The 22812-nt window shown below is 37.6% G+C and overlaps 1 protein-coding gene and 2 pseudogenes across 2 annotated transcripts in view; 2 read left to right on the forward strand and 1 right to left on the reverse strand.

The window, feature by feature from the left end:
* Positions 1 to 22812, reverse strand: part of PDE11A (phosphodiesterase 11A) — a 485096-nt gene that overhangs the window by 393804 nt on the left and 68480 nt on the right. The gene's annotated exons all lie outside the window — the stretch shown is intronic.
* SDHDP5 (succinate dehydrogenase complex subunit D pseudogene 5) lies at positions 935 to 1578 on the forward strand (annotated as a pseudogene).
* RNU6-629P (RNA, U6 small nuclear 629, pseudogene) lies at positions 21855 to 21956 on the forward strand (annotated as a pseudogene).

Below are 22812 nucleotides of genomic sequence, written 5' to 3' on the forward strand. Positions count from 1 at the left end.
CAGAGATTTTGTCTCTCCTATTTACTGCTTCATTCTGGCATGCATATTATACATGCACAATAATATTTTTTAAATAATTTATTCTTTTGAAAAGATTGCATTGCAATTATGCAGAATATAGAAAAGTTGTTAAGGCGCTAAGGCGCCACATACCACTCTTTGGCATGTATGTAGAGACATTTTTCCAAATATATAGAAGAGAGGTACACAAATGTTCACTGCAACATCAATTATGAAAATTAAAAACGTGAAGCCATTTGAATGTTGATCAAGAGAAAAATAAATTATGATCTTGTGGTTTGGTAGTGTATTATACAACAATTTAAATGAATAAATTAGAGCTACCTGTATCAACATGAACAAATGTCAAAAACATAATGTTAAGTGAAACAAACAAGCAGCAGTCTGATACAATCTATATAATACCACAATACTTAAAAATAATACTAAATATCATTTATGGATTCAAATATGTAGCAAAAGTATAAAAGCATGTAAGGGAATAATAAACACTAAATTTATATTAGTGATTACCTGTGGAGAGGAAGGAAGGAAGTGGCATCAGGGAGAACCACAGAGGAGGCTTCAACTACAACAAGAAAGCTTACTTCTTTAGAAAAACAATTCGGGGGGCCAGGTGCAGTGGATCACGCCTGTAATCTCAGCACGTTGGGAGGCTGAGGCCGGCAGATCACGAAGTCAGGAGTTCGAGACCAGCCTGGCCAGCATGGTGAAACCTTGTCTCTACTAAAAATACAAAAAATTAGCCGGGCGTGGTGCCAGGTGCCTGTAGTTCCAGCTACTCAGGAGGCTGAGGCAGGAGAATTGCTTGAACCCAGGAGGTGGAGGTTGCAGTGAGCCAAGATCACGCCACTTCACTCCAGCCTGGGCGAGTGAGACTCCGTCTCAAAAAAAAGAAAGAAAGAAAAACAATTCAGGAGCAAGATGGTGGTTCTCTGGAGGTTGAGTGTAATCTGTGGCACCCAAGGAAGCTGATCTCTGTTGCTTTGAACCCCACTGGTCAGACCTGCCATGTCTCAGCACATCCCTAGGGCCAACCTACCCCAGGATGGTGTGGAGCACAGCATGTTCACCTGCCACCCAGCCGCCATTCTGTTTCCAAGGCTGCGTCTGTCCACTGGACTGGTGACGGGGTTGTCAGTGTTTAGCTCCTGCTTCCAGCTGCTGCTTTGAATCCTTGCTCTGCGATGGACTACTCCCTGGCTACAGCCCTCACTCTCCTTAGTCACTAAGACTTTGAACAAGTTGTTTCAAACTATGTCTATGCAGACGCATCACGGAAAGCTGCCAAGGCAGGCCTTTTGGCACACTTGACTTTAACCTTTGCCGGGCTTTGTGATTTCAACTATCATGATGGGGGCATCTGGAAAGCTGTTGCCATGCTGTGGAAGCTCTGACCTTTTAGACTTAACACCTTAAAAAGTAATTCTTAACACCTTAAAAAGTACTTATCTTTGCCTCTGCTCTGCCATGCCATTCCACTAACAATAAAAAGGAAGTAACAGATAAGTTCATTGTTGAGACAAAACTCTTTGGTGCAATCATAGCTCACTTTCATCACCCAAAGTCCTGGGCTCAAGCAATCCTCCTGCCTCAGCCTCCTAAGTAGCTAGGACTGCAGGTGCACACCACCATGCCCAGCTATTCTTTTTTATTTTTTGTAGACACAGGGTCTCACTACATTGCCCAGTCTGGTCTCAAATTACTGGCCTCAAGCAACCCTCCCACTCTGGCCTCTTTAAACGCTGGGATCACAGGTGTGAGCCACTGCTCCCAGCCCAGAATTTAATCTTTGAGGAAAAGTTTGAGAGGATTTGTATTCAAGAAACTGTGCAACTGAGTCCCATTTTCTGGTGAGTTAATGAGATTTCTTTCCCAGAATCAGAGTATAACTAAACATTATATATGAGCTTTTGCATCTTCATTTACCAATCTCTTAAACAGAATTCAGTTTAATTACTAAATATGTGATCAAACATCTCCTGTATTTTTCCTGATAAGGATAGACAAAGAGAAAGACTGTTAATTCATGCACAAAGACTTTGCAGAAAATTAGACAATATTTAATTTTTGAAAATTTCCCCCTCTGTTCAGTTGATATCAGCTACTGATGGTTCCATGTCCTTGGGAAACATTAAAATTAGAAAAAGCTGATATCTCACACTACTAATTTCTAAATCCTAAGAAGAGGAGCTTGGAAAGCTGCTGAATATAGAGAAGTTCCGTTTAGGGAAGAAGTCTCCTTTGTAATTGTATGAAAATATCAAACATTCTAAATGAAAACTTAATCTCTCAAATATGTTTATTTTACTTGTCTTAAAACAATCTGCCTACAAGTATAAAAGTATAAAAAATTGTTATTTTCCCATTTGAAGTTTTCTAATATAAAAATATATTCTATGAAATAAAATTTCTAAAAATAAAATGCTATATAATAAAACATATTCGACTCTTTTATGTAAAAAAAGCCCAATGTAGTAAAATATTAAGATTTTATAAACCTAGATGGCTTATTCTTATCTAAAATTAAGAACTTTGTGGAGGATGACACAGAATTGAAATAGACCAGTTGGGAAATTTTGGTGGTCCAGGTAAGGTATGAGGATAGTCTGGGTTTAAGAAAAAGGCAATGAGGGTAAAGAGAAGTAGACAAATATGTTGGAAGTTGAGTCTGTAGTACTTCCTGATGAATTGGTTGGGAGGGGAGAATAGACAAAAGACAATGAGCCTCAGATTTTAACTTGAGAAACCGTGGACGGAAGTATCATTTACTGGAATGGGGGAGATTGAGATAAAGGTGAAAGTCTACATATGAAGAGAGTAGAAGGTTGATAAATCAATTTATTAAACAAGGTGAAGTGCATCTTTGACCAAAATCAGTGGTTGTTCCCCCTGACTGCATCTGAAAATTAACTTGAGAAAGTCATCACATATGGAATCAATCATTACTAGGCATTGGTATTTTTTTAAATGCTCCTCTGTTATCCTCATATGAGAACCACTGTCCTAAATGATAAAGACTTTAGTCATTAGTGAGAGCAATAAAACCTATTGATGGGAAATGCCTTAAAATGGGGAGGAACAAGAAGAGTGGTATGTATTCTGATGGTTGCATATCAATGGTGTTGGCCATGATGGAATGGACTGAAAATCCACTCTGCAGTAGGAACAGCCTGTTTGCCCTTACCTTTGTGATAATCTGCATCTCTGGAGAAGGGTCTCTTACCGACCAAAACTCAACTCTGAGTCTGAGTAGACCAACCACCAAGGCTATGGAGTAGGTTGCTACCCCATTGCTAAAGCATCCAAAGTCACATGAGAACAATAGACACTGGGATGCTTTAGCATGACAAGGAGTCACAAAAATGGTCTAAACTCTCCCCACCATCTCCTCACCTCTCTAAATCCACCTGATAAACTGATAACTTAAAGAGAAAATGTGGCCTGGAGCAGTGCTTCATGCCTGTAATGCCAGCACTTTGGGAGGCCAAGGTGGGTGGATCACTTAAGGCCAGGAGTTCAAGACCAGCCTGGTCAACATGGTGAAACCCCATCTCTACTAAAAATACAAAAATTAGCCAGGTGTGGTGGTAGGCGCCTGTAATCCCAGCTACTCCTACTCGGCAGGCTGAGTCAGGAAAATCGATTGAACCCGAGAGGCAGAGGTTGCAGGGAGCCAAGATTGCGCCACTGCACTCCAGACTGGGCGACAGAGCAAGACTCTGTCTCAAAAACAAAAAGGAGAAAATGTAATTGTATTAATACATGTGGTAAGTATTAATCTTTTAATTTAAAATAAAAGCTAGGAAGAAAGATTTTTTCTATTAAGTCTTTGTTTTTTTGTTTTTTTGTCTTGGTGTGTGTGTGTGTGTGTGTGTGTGTGTGTGTGTGTGTGTGTGTGTGTGTGTTTGAGATGGAGTTTCCCTCTTTTTGTCCAGGCTGGAGTGCAATGGTGCAATCTCTGTTCACTGCAACCACCACCTCCCAGGGTCAAGTAATTTTCCTACCTCAGCTTCCTGAGTAGCTGGGATTACAGGCATGTGCCACCACACCAAGCTAATTTTGTGTTTTTAGTAGAGATGGGGGTTTCACCATGTTGGCCAGGCTGGTCTCGAACTCCTGACCTCAAGTGATCCACCTGCCTCGGCCTCCCAAAGTGCTGGGATTACAGGCATGAGCCACCGCACCCAGCCTCCATTAAGTCTTAATGGTTTTAAAAAATAATGCATCTTAGGACATGCTTTGTCTGTGTCTTCATTACACTACTTATAAGATAATTCTCACAAATTAACTCAAAACTTGATAAAATCAAATTAATCTAATGGGAGATCAGAATCGCTGATACAATTATGTACTTTCTTAATATATACATAAATCTGTAGATTAATCTTCCAATTAAAAACAATCAAGAAAGCTGAGTCCCAAATTGAGGCATAAATGAATTATAGTAGATGAAGAAAATTAGGAAAATAATTAGATAAAGGAACATGTTACTCTGATATTATAGAAGGAACAAAAGTTTAATAATAGATGAAATTAAAAAATAGATTTAACTAGCCAAGTAATCACCACAAATGAGTATAATAGTAGAGGAAACACATAGCATTACGGAACACAACAGCAGGGTGCCACAACTAGTCTAAGGTCAGACAATATCTCCCAAAGAAAGTGAAGTGTTTAAGGTGATACCCACAGGATCAATAGGAATTATCCAGAAAAAAAGGAGAGAAGCATTAGGGAGAGGTGGAAGGGAGTGTCCCAGAAAGAGGGAATAGTATCTCTAAAGTCCAGAGGCAATAAACGCTGGTTAATTTGAGGAATAGAAAGAAGTTGAAGATGGCTCTTGTGGGAAGTGTCAGACATGGGGTAGGAAAGACAGCTGGAGGCTGATGAGAGGGTGTCTAGTAACTAGGTGTAGAATTGTAAATTTATCATAGAGGAAGCGAGGGGTCACTAGAGAGTTTTAAGAAGGTGAGTGGGAGTGATATGACTGAGTCTTCATTTTAGAAAGACTGCTGTGGCTACATGTAAAGAATGGATTGGAAGCAAGAGGTCCAGGTGAGAGATGAACCATCTCTGGGCTGGGATGGTGGTTAGTGGTAGTAGGAGTGGTGGAAAATGGACTGAGTTGAGAGATATTTAGGAGGTAGAATGAATAGAACTGATTCTATGCTGATTAATTTGGAAGGCTGTGAAAGTTAGAGAAGTGAAAATGACTCCATATTTCTGGTGCAGATGTCTGGGAGGGTAGTGGGATGATTCACTGAGTGAGGAACGCAGTAAGGAACAGATTCTGGGGAATATGAGTTTCGTTGTGGACATTTCAAGGTTTAGTTGCCTGTGGGTCATCCACATGGTACAGATGCTCAAAAAGAAGTTTGATAGATTTAGATATAGATACAGACATAGACGATTTTTTTTTTTAATTTCAGGAAAAGGACTTGAAATGGAAAGTAAAAATTGTCTAGGTAAGGATGGGAATTTTGCCTAACAGCTTTTAAGCCCAGGATCTTCAGAAGGTCATCACAATCACCAGCAGAGCTTCACAGAAGGCCAGGTAAGGAGGAAACAGGACTAGTAAGAAGGCAAAAAATGTGCTTGTTTCTGAAAATGGAAACTTGAATAGGAAACTAACAAATGCCTCAAGGATTATAATGAAATATCATATGGAGAATGGTGCCCAATTTTTACTCATCTCCCTTGGGACAAAAGAACAAGAAATGATCTACAACAGGAGAGATTTCTAATAAATTAAGGTAAAGTAAAGTTGTTAAAATCTGGAATGAGCTGTTATAATTGTGGTAGACTCTTACCGCTTTGAGTATTTTTATGTCATAATATTTTTTCTATCTCAGATATTTTAAGTACAACTGCTCTTGAGAAGTGCAGAAATCTTTTCCATGCCTTTTATGCAGATCTGTCTTTTGTATATAACACGCAGCCATGATTTTTAACCTTTAAAAAGACAAAGTCACAAGGCCAAAAGCAATTTTTACTTCTCAGTGAAGGAACTGACCTGTGCCTCCTTCATAGAGAACAGTAATTGGATACATTTCTGACCCAGGATCTTGCACTTGCAAACCCATCTGCAAGTTTCTGAGTTGAATGTGGTGCCATGAAGCACACCCAGAAAAAGGATTCCCACCTTCAAGATCCACAAAGGCTGTAAAAAGCAACCTCTGAACTCAGCTTTCATGTCTTTGAGAAAGAATTATATTTAATATGCTCAAGAATCCCAGCCAGCCCCAAAAAAACACACTTTAGAGGTACGAAAGAAGCCTCGAAGCAAAACAAATCCATCTTCTCTTTCTACTTTCTCAGAGAAATCACTGGAGGCTCCCTAAGGCAAGATTCAGAGTTGAGAATCTTATCCAGGTCCCACATTCATGGCAAAGATGGGTTGCCTAAGATCTCTTTTATTCCCTCTGTATTTAAGGACTCTATCCCCAATACTTTATAGTAAAATTTTCCAGTACTCATGATTAAGCCAAGAACTAATCTTGACCAATGTTTAATCTACAAGGGTGATTTTTAAAAACCAGAATCTTGAATCTACCTTAGGTCCTTCATAGCCAAAATGCTCAAACTGTTCAAGTCTAAGAGTGTCCACATGATGTAATTATGTTTCCTGAACATACTTATGAGGAAATATGTAATGACAAAAGCCCCTATTAATTCCATAACACTTTCAAATGACCTTGTCTTTGAGTTACAAAATATAGCTCAAAAATTATAAAGTTATAATTGTAAATTGTGGAGAAGATTACAGAGAAAAATTATAAAGAAATTAGAGAGAAAAGGTGAAATAAGATATGCATGTATATAAGGTATTCTTCGGCCTACAGACACTTAGACATACATAGGAATAGAACAGAGCTTGGCAGTCCTTGTTAATACTGGAATCACCTGGGACCTTTAGGAAAGTACTGATGTTTTAGCCCCACCCCAACTAATTAAATCACAATTGGTAGGGGGAGGGGCCCTGGAGGGGATCTGACTTCTGGCTGTTTGTCAGGGTAGGGTTAAGAACCACTGAATTAGAGGGTCACTTAATAAATCCAAGGCCTCATCAGGCATTCACGCCTGTAATCCCAGCACTTTGGGAGGCTGAGGTGGGTGAATCACCTGAGGTCAGGAGTTTGAGACCAGCCCGGCTAACAAGCTGAAACCCCATCTCTACTAAAAATACAAAAATTAGCCGGGCATAGTGGTGCACACCTGTAATCCCAGCTACTCGGGAGGCCGAGGCAGGAGAATTGCTTGGGCCCGGGAGGCAGAGGTTGCAGTGAGCTGAGATTGTGCCACTACTCTCCAGCCTGGGCAACAGAGCAAGATTCCATCTTAAAAAATAAAAATAAAAAATAAAAATCCAAGGCCTCTGGGGTCTGAAGACAACAGGTTATAAACCATGCTTTAGAGATTTAGCTTTTGTTTTATTTTGTCTTTTCCATACACTTTCCCTGAAGGCTTCATGAACTAGGCCTGCATACCTTTTTCAACATCATATTAGCCCATTGCCCCACCAAAAGATTCAGAGAAAAAGTTCAGTCTCATATTTCATCTACATCCTGTTTCAAATGCCTTATGGAGTTGTAATGTAGAGAAGTTAATGGAAATAAAAAAACATAAAATGAATAATCCATTGAAACACAAACCAATAGATTGCCAAACTTTCTGAAGCTCAAAAAATTGCTTTTATTGCTATATCATTTAGTAATACTCATTTAATTCCAATTCATAAAATCATCTCCTTACACTTATGACTTATCAGTAGACATCACTTATTTTCCAGAAAATGCTTGGAAGGCAAAGCTTTCGAAAATTGATTAGTCTTTAATGACTTGAAATCTATTATTCTTACTTTCTTCATAGAAAGAAGAACTAATTGTTCTGAATTGATGGAAGACTTGAGATTACACTGCATAAAAACAAAGACACAGCATGTGGCAACTACATAGCTCATTCTTTAGGCCTCCTAATTTGATATTTGCTGAGAAAAAGTGAAAAATTATCATTGTTGTTCTTAATATGTATTTGCAGAATTTCATTGCTGTACAGTAAACAAAAAAGAATCTCCAAATTCTTTCCTAAAGAGTTCTAAATAGTACAAAAGATTACCAAAAATTGTTTCTGAAGCTTCACTCTTTTATGGACCTGAAGTGGTGTAGTTGGAATTGGAGTATTTTGTACATTCACATAGGTAAGCTCTACTTGCTAAATGTTTAAAGGGCATACCTTTATTTAAGTCTTTCAAATAGAATTGGTGGTTGATAGACACCATCAAATAATTTGATATGAAGTTTCAAAACAGTTATTGTGATTACCATGTTGTTTGGGGCATTATCCCTTTTTTTAGTCACGTTGCTAAAGTAAACTTTGTTTGCTGATCTTATTTCCCTCTGTTCTTCCTTTCTTAGTTGGCACTTTTCTTTGGTCCTGTCTTATCATCATGATTATTATTATTTCTCTTTATTACAATAAATACAAATACAAATCTCAAGGCAAAATACACAGGAAAATGAAGACCCACACCACACTTGAAACCAAAGCGCAACTGACGTAGTAAAAAAGAAAATGATGAATTCTTAAACTGCTTTAATAGACAGCCCAGATATCTATTACCGTAAGTCTGCAAATATATTGTACCTAGAGTTAAAATGCAACCTCATGCTCTATAAGCTTTATTGCATATAAGGAAAATGTCTAAGAAAAGGCCAGTACCTGAAGAAAGAGTTATGGGAAGGGTCAGCTAACCAGAAGGCACCTTTTTTTCTGACACAGTGAGACCATCTAAGAACTGCAATGAATCAGGGAAATGAGGCTCTAAGGTAAAACCAGGAAGGCCAGGCAGTCTGCAAATAAGGGGAAGGGAACTATCAGCATGAAGCTGTGATTCAGACACCAGACAAACAGTCAGAAAGTAGAGAATACAGGGCAAGCCAAGGTCAAGACAGTGATGCATGAAAAGCCAGGTCCAGGTCAGAAGAACAGATCTAACAGTGAGACATTGGAGACTTGGTCTCACCCATTCATCAGAACCTAACACAGACTACCTCCAACAGAGAGCTTTGGAATTCTTCCCACTGAAGACAACTGAGACAACCCGAAAAGTGGCCCAAAAATGTAACTGATATGTAGGCAGCTATCTCAATCAAATGCTGATCCTTCCCACATTTATGGCAAATACCAGAATTTATAGAGTCATAGTGATATGTTATATTTTAATTACATAATTTGTTTAGGTTTTATTGTTAATATGCAAAGGTTACAATTCCTCTTTGACAAAAGTTTAATGTTAAAAAGTAATTTTTGACCGGGCGCTGTGGCCAACACCTGTAATCCCAGCACTTTGGGAGGCCAAGGTGGGCGGATCACTTGAGGTCAGGAGTCAAGACCAGCCTGGCCAACATGGTGAAACCCCGTCTTTACTAAAAATACAAAAATTAGCTGGGCGTGATGGTAGGAACCTGTAATTCCAGCTACTCAGGAGGCTGAGGCAGGAGAATCACTTGAACCCAGGAGGCAGAGGTTGCAGTGAGCCGAGATTGCGCCACTGCACTCCAGCCTGTGCAACAGAGCGAGACTCTGTCTCAAAAAAAAAAAAAGAAAAGAAAAAAGTAATTTTTTAAAATCTGCTTTTTAAAGTTTTTTAGGTTTTGAAATGTTTTAAAAACACATTTTTAAATAAAATGTCTATAGAAATAAGTGTATTTAGTTAATCAAAAGAGTATTATTTCAAATCAGTCAGAAAATTATGGATTATTCAACTAGTTACATATTTGGGAAAAATAAGTTAGACCCCTATCTCACATCAGACATCAAAATTAATTTCAAGCAGAATAAAGACTTAAATGTACTCATCTCTTAATAAATTGCAAAAGTAAAACAAAAAATTTACTCAAACCCTGCCAAGACATATTTCCTATTTTAACATGAAATACTATAGTATTAATCATTTAAGATGCCAATATCTAGCTTTATTGAAACGACCAGTGAAATGTCTACTTTTATACATTGCTAATGAGAATATAAATTAGTGCAATAAATATGGAGGGCAATTTGGCAAGAAGTAACAAAAGTCTTTTAAAAATTTTTATGCTCTTTAATAATTTCATTTCTAGGAATTTATGATAAGGAAAAATTGAAAAATATCTACATATTCAAGAGGAAATGGATTATATTATGATATAGACACAATACCACTAAAAAAAGCATTAGAATTTATTTTACATGTTATAAGTGGTTTTATTATGACATGAGAAAGTTACATGAAGAAAAGTGGTTTAGAATTCAGTAAAATTAGCATAATTTCCTAAGGGTGATGAAATTACCATCTAAGACAGCACAATAGTTTCAAAAGTGCCCTCCAAAAACATAGAAGTCATTATGCTACTGAATTGTCAGTAAAATAGATAGGCAACATACACCAGCCGTCAAGCTGGAGGTGGGTCGATATTCATAAATAATTTATCTCTATGAAAAACCATAGCATCCTATACTTTCAGCAAGATATAAGCGAGTCCAAGCTAGCAATCCAAATGGCCCCGGCTGTTTTTTTAAAGCCACTATCACCCTAGCTAAAAAATCTCTTATCATAAAAGGTCCAATTGACCTGCTACCCAGAATGCCAAAGGAACTTGGTGGTATTGCCTGAAAATCACAAAGAACAAAGAACAGAAGACTGTCAAGATACTATAATTGGGCAATGTTCTGATATGTGAAATGGATGGATTTTTCAACTCTCTCAGATTCTGACCTTCTCCACATTTAATGTGAAATATCACAACCTCTTATGTGGCATAGCATATATAATATTGGAAAACATCCTGATTTTCCAAAAGAATGAATACTATCAACTAAAAAAAACAAACTATTAAACCAGTAAATATAAGTTTGTAAAAGATTGCTGTGAACAAGTCCTCCAGCCACAGCAGTGTGTTCCACCACTGAAAGCCCAGGTTAGAAAAAATCAGGCATCTTCTACTGGGAAAAGGACTTGGAAGCAGCTTAACACTACTTCCCACCAACCTTCCAGGTGGATCCCTGGAGCTGGTTGGTTCCATACACATTCCCTTCCCCACTATAAGTCCCTGCATCCCTGAAGCCTTCCTTCTCCATTCCCAGGCCAGGCTCTTTATTTCCTTGGTGTTCACCCTCGCTTCAGCTACAAATAAGCAAAGTGCCGAGAGTACCTGGACTCCTTGCAGAAGTTATATAGTCACATGTTCCATCAAAAAAAAAAAAAAAAAATGGGGACATGAATCTCTTGCCCTATAATATGAGAGTAGGCGTGACATACCAAACTGAAGGTGTCAACCTGTGGGGGGAAGTCATTCAGAGGATGGATCCCATCAGCAGGAATCATTTGTAAATAATCTGGATAAATACAAGCGTGCCTTTTCCTTAAATAAAGCACCAAAGTGCTTTCACATAAATGTTTGTGAGTAGGAGCCCTCTAGCCAGACACACTGGAGAAATGAGTCGGCATGTTTATTGGCACTCTCATCTAAGCTATTCCACCTTGGATAGAGTTGATTAGCTCCTCTTAGAACTGTTCTCTTGTCTGCTGCCTTGTAACATGTCATTTTCTTAGCCAGCTAGCAAAATGCTGCAGTGTTTGTTTTATGAACTAATTCAAGCACCTGGAATAGCCAGCTAATTAGACCATTCATATTTTTCAGGTTTGGGTTTTGCTGGGCTAGAAAGATCTGATATATCGGCTAGCATTTACTCTCATGCAAATAACAGGGCCAGGAACCATTCTATAAATCTCAATTCATTTCTGAGGTGTTCCAGTAAAATGAGCAATCAATTTAACCGACTAGAATTCTTCACTTTAGGATCTGCATAGTACGGAACAACAGAAGCAGTAGAAATTGCAACAAGCCCTAGGCTACCAAAGTCTATAAGACTCCTAGATACTCCTTCAGATGGCATTTCAAAAACAAATTGAAAAATTTCATAGCTTCCAAGTCCCTCTGCCTTACTTAAGAAAGGTTATCTTATAGGCATCATTGGATATTGTCTTCCCCACCATAAGCCACCCATCAGCATGCTCACGTACATCTGATACATCTAGCTACACTGCACCCAACAACAAGAGATTTCATATAATTAGTTCCATGATTGACATGAAAAGTTTATGAAAATTCACCAAAAGCTAAGTCATCAGGTTAGCCAGTTTGAAATCACCATGTCAAATAACTGATATCACACAGAAAATATAATTTAACTCCAATGCACTTTAGTTAGGAACAATAATAAAAAGATAACTAGTGAAATCAAATATTTAAACATTTAGAATACATTTCTGAATTACCCATCAATCAAAAAATTAAAATAGAAGTTATAAAATACTTAGAAAATACTAAGAAAAATAATGTCTAAATATAAAAATACCAGGATGATTACACATCATATATCAAAACCGTGGTCCACAGTTAAAGAGTTCTTAAAGGTTCTGTTGTAAATGCTTACCTCAGGAAAAAAAAAATGTTCAACTTAATAATCATCCAACCATAAGGAGTTAGGGGAAAAGAACAGCAAAATAAATTCAAGAAAATGGAAAAAATAATACAAATAAGAGCAAAAGTTAATGAAAATGGCAGGAAATATATATTGAAGACAATTGAAGACAATTCAATATATATTGAAGACAATTGGTTTAAATGTTTTTCCCCCTCAAAACTCGTGTTAAAATTTAATTGCCATTGTGATGATATTAGGAAGTGGGACCTTTAAGAAGTGTTTAGGTCATGAGGGCTCTGCCCTCATGAATACACTCATACCATTATCACTTGAGTGGGTTCATTATTGCAGAAGTGGGTCTGCCTCTCCCCAGCACTCTTTGCCCTTTCACCATATGATGCCTTCCACCATGTTATGCCACAGCAAGAAGGCCCTCACCAGATGCAGACACCTTGATTTTGGACTCCCTGGCTTTCAGAACTGTGCACTAATAAATTTCTGTTTGTTATAAATTACCGAGTCTATGGTATTCTGTTATAGCAGCACAAAACTGACTAAGACAAAAATTAACAAAGTTCAAAAAAAGAATAACATATGAAAATCTCTAGAGAGAATAATCAGGAGAGAAAAAAAAGAGAGAGGCCTTATATTTTAAAAAATCAGGAATAAAATGGGGCTAAAACTACAGTTGCTACAAAGATTAAACAAATATAATGGTGTTATGAACAACTTTGTGCCAATAAATTTGAAAAGTTAGATGAAATAAATAGATAAAAACTTATCCAAAAAATCTTTCAAAAAACTAGAGAACATAAAGAGTCCTATAAGCTTTAAATAAATTGAATCAGTACTTTAAAATATTCCCGTTAAACATACACACACATCCTCAGATCCAGATAGATTTCTAGGAAATTATACCAAACATCATGGCATTGGGCAATTCTAATTTATTACAAACTATTCCAACTAATGGAAAAAGAAAGACCATTCTCCCAGTTCATTTGTGATATAACTTTGCTTTCAAAATCAGACAAGAGTATTCTAAGAAAAAAAAAAAGGCTGGGCATAGTGGCTCACACCTGTAATCCCAACAACTTGGGAGGCCAACACAGAAAGATTGCTTGAGCCCTGGAGTTTGAGACTAGAGTGGGCAACATTGTGGAACACTGTCTCTATAAAAAATTTTTAAAAATTAGCCAGGCATGGTGGCATGTGCCTGTAGTCCCAGCTACTTGGGAGGCTGAGGTGCAGGGATCACCTGAGCCCAGGAGGTTGAGGCTGCAGTGAATCTTGTGATTGTGTCACTGCACACCAGCCTGGGTGACAAAAAGAAGAAAATATAAAAATATAGGCCAGTCTTGCTTATGAATGGATATAGATGCAAAAACCCTAAAAACCAAAATTTTTGTGAAACAAATCAGACAATACATAAAAAAAGATCACTTTTTATAACCAAGTTGATGTTTCCTAGGAATGCAAGATTGGTTTAATATGAGATCAATTAAAGTAATTCACCACATTAATAGTGTAAGGTAAAAAAATTCATATCTTTATAAAGGCAGAAAAAGTTAATAAAACTCTGCATTCTCTTATTATTTTAAAAATAACAGCAACAACCTCCTTAGCAAACTGGGAATAGAAGGGAACTTTCTTAACCCAATAAAGGGGATCTCAAAAAACCCACAGAAACCTCATACCTAATGATTAAACTGAAAGCATTCTCTATAAGCTCAGTTTCAAGACAAAGAGACCTGTTATAATCAGTCTTGTTCTACATGATACTGGAGGTTCTTGCACAGTAGGAGCTAAGAAAAAGAAATAAAAGGTAAAGGATTGTAAAGAAAGAAAACTGTCATTATTTGCAGATGATATGATTGCTTACACAGAAAATCTTAAACAAGCTACAGATAAAAATTTAAATAAGAGTTGTTGGATTCCAAATTGATACACAAAAGTAAATTGCATTTCTAGATAAACACAAGAATTGACTAAAAATATAATTTTTTAAATATACTGTTTAAAATATCAATAAACATTTTTAAATACCTAGGATACAATATAGCAAAGAATGTGTAAGACTTTTATAGTGAAAACTAAAAAAAAGACTTAAAAGACATTAAAGAAGATTAAATTGGAAAAAAATATATATCATATTATTGGGTAGGAAGACTGACTCTCATACATCAGTAATTCCCCCTAAACTGACCTATAACTTCAGTGCAATTCCAGTTGAAATCCTATCAGAGTGTGCATGTGTGTGTATGTGTGAAACTCAACAGGCTGATTACAAAACTGACATGAAAGAATAAAGGGCCAGCTGAAGCCAAGACCCTCCTGAGGAAGAACAAGTCATAGGGGTTGGGGAGAAGATTCACCCTACTAGATATTAATACTTTCTATAAGCTACAGAAATTAAGGCAGTGTGATAGTAATACAGGCATAGATTAATAGACCAACAGAATAATAGAGAGCCTAGTAAAAAACCCATGCACATATAGAAAATGGATTTATGGCAAAGCAGTCATCACAGATCATGAGAAAAGATGAACTTCTCAATAAATGACCCTAGGTCAATTGCTTATTCAAATAGAAAAGAAATAAAATTGTATTCATATCCTACACCCTAACACAAAAAAGGAATTACAATTAAACTAAATACTTAATATGAAAACAAATTTATAAAAATTTCCAAAGACACTATAGGAGAATATTTTTCTTCATACCCTGTTTCAAGAATAAGAACAAAAATGCAAATTTCTATAAGATCAATAAATCAAGTAGTATTAAAATTAAGAGCTTGGGCTGGGCGTGGTGGCACATGCCTGTAGTCCCAGCTACTGGAGAGGCTGAGGCAGGAGAATTGCTTGAACCCGGGAGGCAGAGGTTGCAGTGAACCAAGATCGCATCACCGCACTCTAGCCTGGGCAACAGAGCGAGACCCCATCTCAAAAAAAAAAAAAAAGGACTTGGGTTTTCCATTAAGAATGAAAAGCAACAGTACACCAGCTCTGCTAAGGGACAGAATGCCTCCTCAAGTGGGTCCCTGACCCCTGTGCCTCCTTACTGGGAGAAACCTCCCAACAGGGGTCGTCAGACACCTCATACAGGAGAGCTCTGGCTGGCATTAGGCCAGGGCCTCCCTAGAATGAAGCTTCCAGAGGAAGGAGCAGGCAGCAGTCTTTGCTGTTCTGCAGCCTCCACTGATGATACCCAGGCGAACAGGGTCTAGAGTGGACCTCCAGCAAACTGCAGCAGACCTGCAGAAGAGGGACCTGATTGTTAGAAGAAAAACTAACAAACAGAAAGCGATAACATCAACATAAAGGACCCCCACACAAAAACCCCATCCAAAGATCATCAGCCTCAAAGATCAAAGGTAGATAAATCCATGAAGATGAGAAAAAAACAGTGCAAAAAAACAACTGAAAATTCAAAAAACCAGAATGCCTCTTCTCCTCCAAGTGGTTACAACCCCTCTCTGGCAAGGACACAAAACTGGATGGAGAATGAGTTTGACGAACTGACAGAAGTAGGCTTCAGAAAGTGGGTAATAACAAACTCTTCTGAGCTAAAGGAGCATGTTTTAACCTAATGCAAGGAAGCTAAGAACCTTGATAAAAGGTTACAGGAACTGCTAACTAGAATAACCAGTTTAGAGAGGAACATAAATGACCTATTGGAGCTGAAAAACACAGCACGAGAACTTCCTGTAGCATACACAAGTATCAACAACCAAATTTATCAAGTGGGAGAAAGAATATCAGAGATTGAAGATCAACTTACTGAAATAAGGTGTGAAGACAAGATTGGAGAAAAAAGAATGAAAAGGAATGAACAAAGCATCCAGGAAATATGGGACTATGTGAAAGGACCAAACATATGATTGATTACTGTACCTGAAAGTGACGGGGAGAATGGAACCAAGTTGGAAAACACACTTCAGGATATCATCCAGGAGAACTTCCCCAACCTAGCAAGACAGGCCAACATTCAAATTCAGGAAATACAGAGAACAACACTAAGATACTCCTCAAGAAGAGCAACCCCAAGACACATAATCATCAGATTCTCCAAGGTTGAAACAAAGGAAAAAATGTTAAGAGCAGCCAGAGAGAAAGGTCAGGTTACCTACAAAGGGAAGCCCATCAGACTAACAGTGGATCTCTCTGCAGAAACCCTACAAGCCAGAAGAGAGTGGGGGCCAATATTCAACATTCTTAAACAAAAAAAAGTTTTCAACCCAGAATTTCATACCCAGCCAAACTAAGCTTCATAAGGAGAAATAAAATCCTTTCCAGACAAGCAAATGCTGAGGGATTTTGTCACCACAAAGCCTGCCTTACAAGACCCCTGAAGGAAGCACTAAATATGGAAAGGAAAAGCTGTTACCAGCCACTGCAAAAACACACCAAAATATAAAGACCAATGACACTATGAAGAAACTGCATCAACTAATGTTCAAAATAACCAGCTAACATCATGGTGAAAGGATCAAATTCACACATAACAATATTAACCTTAAATGTAAATAGGCTAAATGCCCCAATTAAAAGACACAGACTGGAAAATTGGATAAAGAATCAAGAGCCATTGGTGTGCTGTATTCAGGAGACCCATCTCACGTGCAAAGACACATAGGGTCAAAAAAAAAGGGATGGAGGAATATTTACCAAGCAAATGGAAAGCAAAAAGAAAGCAGGGGTTGCAATCCTAGTCTCTGATAAAACAGACTTTAAATCAACAAAGATCAAAAAAGACAAAAGGGATCAACGCAACAAGAAAAGCTACCTATCCTAAATATATATGTACCCAATACAGGAGCACTCAGATTCATAAAAGAAGTTCTTAGAGACTTACAAAGAGACTTAGATACCTGCACAATAATAGTGGGAGACTTTAACACCCCACTGTCAATATTAGACAGATCAATGAGACAGAAAATTAACAAGGATATTCAGGACTTGAACTCGGCTATGGACCAAGTGGACCTAATAGACATCTACAGAACTCTCCACCCCAAATCAACAGAATACACATTCTTCTCAGCACCACATTGCACTTATTCCAAAATTGATCACATAGTTGGAAGTAAAGCACTCTTCAGCAAATGTAAAAGAACAGAAATTATAACAAACTTCCCTCAGACCACAGTACAATCAAATTAGAACTCAGGATTAAGAAACTCACTAAAAACCGCACAACTACATGGAAATTGAACAACCTGCTCCTGAATGACTACTGGGAAAATAATGAAATTAAGGCAGAAACAAAGGAGTTCTTTGAAACCAATGAGAACAAAGACACAACATACCAGAATCTCTGGGACACATTTAAAGCAGTGTTGAGAGGGAAATTTATAGCACTAAATGCCCACAACAGAAAGTTGGAAAGATCTAAAATCGGCACCCTAACATCACAATTAAAAGAACTAGAGAAGCAAGAGCAAACACATTCAAAAGCTAGCAGAGGACAAGAAATAACTAAGATCAGAGCAGAACTGAAGGGGATAGAGACATGAAAAACCCTTCGAAAAAAATCAATGAATCCAGGAGCTGTTTTTTTTTAAACATTAACAAAATAGATGGACCACTAGTTAGACTAATAAAGAAGAAAAGAGAGAAGAATCAAATAGACACAATAAAAAATGATAAAGGGGATATCACCACTGATCCCACAGAAATACAAACTACCATCAGAGAATACTACAAACACTACTACTCAAATAAACTAGAAAATCTAGAAGAAATGACAAATTCCTGGACACATACACCCTCTCAAGACTAAACCAGGAAGAAGTCAAATCCCTGAATAGACCAATAACAAGTTCTGAAATTAAGGCAGTAATTAAGAGCCTACCAACCAAAAAAAGCCCAGGACCAGATGGCTTCACAGCCAAATTCTACCAGAGGTACAAAGAGGAGCTAGTATCATTCCTTCTGAAACTATTCCAATCAATAGAAAAAGAGGGAATCCTCCCTAACTCATTTTATGAGGCCAGCATCATCCTGATACCAAAACCTGGCAGAGAGAGACAACAAAAAAAGAAATTTTCAGGCCAATGTCCCTGAAGAATATTGATGTGAAAATCCTCAATAAAATAGGGCAAACCGAATCCAGCAGCACATCAAAAAGCTTATCCAACACGATCAAGTTGGCTTCTTTTGTGGGATGCAAGGCTGGTTCAACATACACAAATCAATAAATGTAATCCATCACATAAACAGAACCAATGACAAAAACCACATGATTATCTCAATAGATGCAGAAAAGGCCTTCAATAAAATTCAACAGCCCTTACGCTAAAAACTCAGTAAACTAGGTATTGATGGAACATATCTCAAAAAATAATAGCTGTTTATGACAAACCCATAGCCAACATCATACTGAATGGGCAAAAGCTGGAAGCATTCCCTTTGAAAACCAACACAAGACAAGGATGCCCTCTCTCACCACTCCTATTCAACATACTATTGGAAGTTCTGGCCAGGGCAATCAGGCAAGAGAAAGAAATAAAGGGTATTCAAATAGAAAGAGAGGAAGTCAAATTGTCTCTGTTTGCAGATGACATGATTGTATATTTAGAAAACCCCATTGTCTAAGCTCCAAAACTCCTTAAGCTGATAAGCAACTTCAGCAAAGTCTCAGGATACAAAATCAGTGTTCAAAAATCACAAGCATTCCTATATATCAACAATAGATGAGCAGAGAGCCATGTCATGAGTGAACTCCCATTCACGATTGCTATAAAGAGAATAAAATACCTAGGAATACAACTTAAAGGGACGTGAAGGACTTCCTCAAGGAGAACTACAAACCACTGCTCAGGAAAGAAGAGAGGACACAAACAAGTGGAAAAAAATTCCATGCTCATGGATAGGGAGAATCAGATCATGAAAATGGTCATACTGCCCAAAGTAACGTATAGAGCCAATGCTATTCGCATCAAGCTACCATTAACTTTCTTCACAGAATTAGAAAAAAACTACTTTAAATTTCATATGGAACCAAAAAAGAACCTGTATAGCCAAGACAATCCTAAGAAAAAAGAACAAAGCTGGACATGTCATGCTACCTGACTTTAAACTATACTACAAGTCTACAGAAACCAAAACAGCATGGTACTGGTACCAAAACAGATACATAGACCAACGGAACGAAAGGAGACCTCAGAAATAACACCACACATCTACAATCATCTGATTTTCAACAAACCTGACAAAAACAAGCAGTGGAGAAAGGATTCCATATTTAATAAATGGTGCTGGGAAAACTGGCTAGCCATATGCAGAAAACAGAAACTGGACCCCTTCCTTACACCTTATAGAAAAATTAACTCAAGATGGATTAAAGACTTAAATGTAAAACCCAAAACCATAAAAACCCTAGAAGAAAACCCAGGCAATACGATTCAGGACATAGGCATGGGCAAAGACTTCATGACTAAAACACCAAAAGCAATTGCAACAAAAGCCAAAATTGACAAATGAGATCTAGTCAAACTAAAGAGCTTCTGCACAGCAAAAGAAACTATCATCAGAGTGAACAGGCAACCTACAGAATGGGAAAAAATGTTTGCAATCTATCCATCTGACAAAGGTCTAATATCCAGAATCTACCAGGAACTTAAACAAATTTACAAGAAAAAAACAAACAACACCATGAAACAGTGGGCAAAGGCTATGAACAGATACTTCTCAAAAGAAGACATTTATGTGGCCAACAAACGTGAAAAAAAGCTCATCATCACTGGTCATTAGAGAAATGCAAATCAAAACCACAATGAGATACCATCTCATGCCAGTTAGAATAGTGACTATTAAAAAGTCAGGAAACAATAGATGCTGGAGAGGCGGTGGAGAAATAGAAACACGTTTACACCATTGGTGGGAGTGTAAATTAGTTCAACCATTGTGGAAGATAATGTGGTGATTCCTCAAGGATCTAGAACCAGAAATATCACTTGACCCAGCAATCCCATTACTGGGTATATACCCAAAGGATTATAAATCATTCTAATATAAAGACCCATGCGTACATGTGTTTATTGCAGCACTATTTACAATAGCAAAGACATGGAACCAACCCAAATGCCCATCAATGATAGACTGGATAAAGAAAATGTGGCACATATACACCACGGAATACTATGCAGCCATAAAAAAGAATGAATTCATGTCCTTTGCAGGGACATGGATGAAGCTGGAAGCCACCAATCTCAGCAAACTAACACATGAACAGAAAACCAAACACCACATGTTCTCACTCATAAGTGGGAGTTGAGCAATGAGAGCACATGGACACAGTGAGGGGAACATCACACACCAGGGCCTGTCAGGGGGTGGGGGACAAGGGAAGGGAGAGCATTAGGACAAATATCTAATGCATGGGGGGCTTAAAAGCTAGATGACGGGTTGATAGGTGCAGCAAACCACCATGGCACATGTATACCTATGTAACAAACCTGCATGTTCTGCACATGTATCCTAGAACTTAAAGTATAATAAAAAAAAAATTGCTAAGGGTTATAGATTAGATACCCTTTAATGTAAATATTCAAATTTCTTTTTATAAAAAAGCAGATATATTGAGATATAATTGAAATAAAAAAACTGTACATATTTAACATATATGATTTTATTAGTCTGGACATATGGTTACACCCATGAAATGGCCACAATCAAGATATGAATATAACTATCACCCCCACCAAAGTTTCTTCATGCCCTTTTTAATCCCACCTTCCATCCCTCCCACCCCACCATCCCCCACCTCAGATAACACTGATCTGCTTCCTGTCACTAGAGAGTAGTTTGCATTTTCTAGAGTTTTATCTAAATCAGCCATGCAGTATGCATTCTTGTCTGACTTCTTTCATTCCACATTATTAAAAAAAAAGAATGAAAATCAAGCAATAAAGAAGAAAAAATATTTGTAATACATATAACCAATAAGGAAGGTGGTGTTCAGAATATATATGTATATAAGGAGCTCCTACAAATCAATAAGAAAAAAGCAAATTCAATAGGAAAAAATGGGCCAATGACATGGACCAGTACTCCACAATAAGAGAAAACACAAACATATGAAAAGAGGGTTGAGGGGGAGTCATTCACTGAGCTCACCCCAGAACATTTGCATGGTCTATACTTTCATACCAACCATGAGTAGCCTGTTCTTTTCTTGGCTGGGAGGTAAATGAGGACCCTGTCCATAGATCAGGTGGCCATGAGGGGAATGGGCTTGGTAGGGAAAGCTAGAATTTGTGCTCTGGTGACTATGGTGGTCCTGGCCCCATATATATTCACTGTAAAGAGGAAGATGCAGCGGAACAAGAAGAACACTGAATAACTAAGAAACGAATGCTTGTGCTTACTTTGGCAGCACATATACTAAAATTGGCACAATAGAAGATTAGCATGGCCCCTGCGCAAGGATGATGAGCAAATTCATGAGGCATTCCATATTTTTAGCAATCCCATTACTGGCTATATAACCAGAGGAATATAAGTCATTCTACCATAAAGGCATGCACACGAGTGTTCATTGAAGCCCTATTAACAATAACAAAGACATGGAATCAATGTTTTTGCAGGACATGCAAGGAATCAACCTAAACGCCCATCAATGACACATTGGATATACACATGGATACTATGCAGCCATAAAAAGAATGAGATCATGTCTTTTTGCTGGAACATGGATAGAGCTGGAAGCTATTATTATTAGCAAACTAACACAAAAACAGAAAACCAAATACTGCATGTTCTCACTTATAAGTGGGAGCTAAATGATGAGAACTCATGAACCCAAAAAAGGGAACAACAGACATTGGGGTCTACTTAAGGATGGAGGGTGAGAGGAGGGAGAGGAGCAGAAAAAATAAATATTGGGTACCAGACTTAATACCTGGGTGATGAAATAGTTACACAGCAAACCCCCATGACACAAGTTTACCTATATAACAAACCTTTACATGTACCCCCAAACCTAAGAGTTAAAAATAAATAAATAAAAGTTACAAAAATGAATAGTTAAAAGTCTGCGGTCATGCAAATATGATGCCAAGATTCCAGGAGACCTATACAAAATGCCCATAGCAACATTACTGATAAAAGCAAAAAATAAAAATAAATAAATAAAAATAAAATAAAATAAAATAACTAGAAATAACTCAAAAGTCTGTCAATAGTAGAATGATAAATTGTGATATATTTATACAAAGGAACATTATACGGCACTGGAAATTATTGCTACACATTTCAACATGAATTAATCTCAAAAACATAATGTTGAGCAGAAAAAGAAACAAAAGAATACATGTAG

Source organism: Homo sapiens, chromosome 2 (assembly GCF_000001405.40).
Source record: "Homo sapiens chromosome 2, GRCh38.p14 Primary Assembly".
Taxonomy (NCBI): Eukaryota; Metazoa; Chordata; class Mammalia; order Primates; family Hominidae; genus Homo; species Homo sapiens.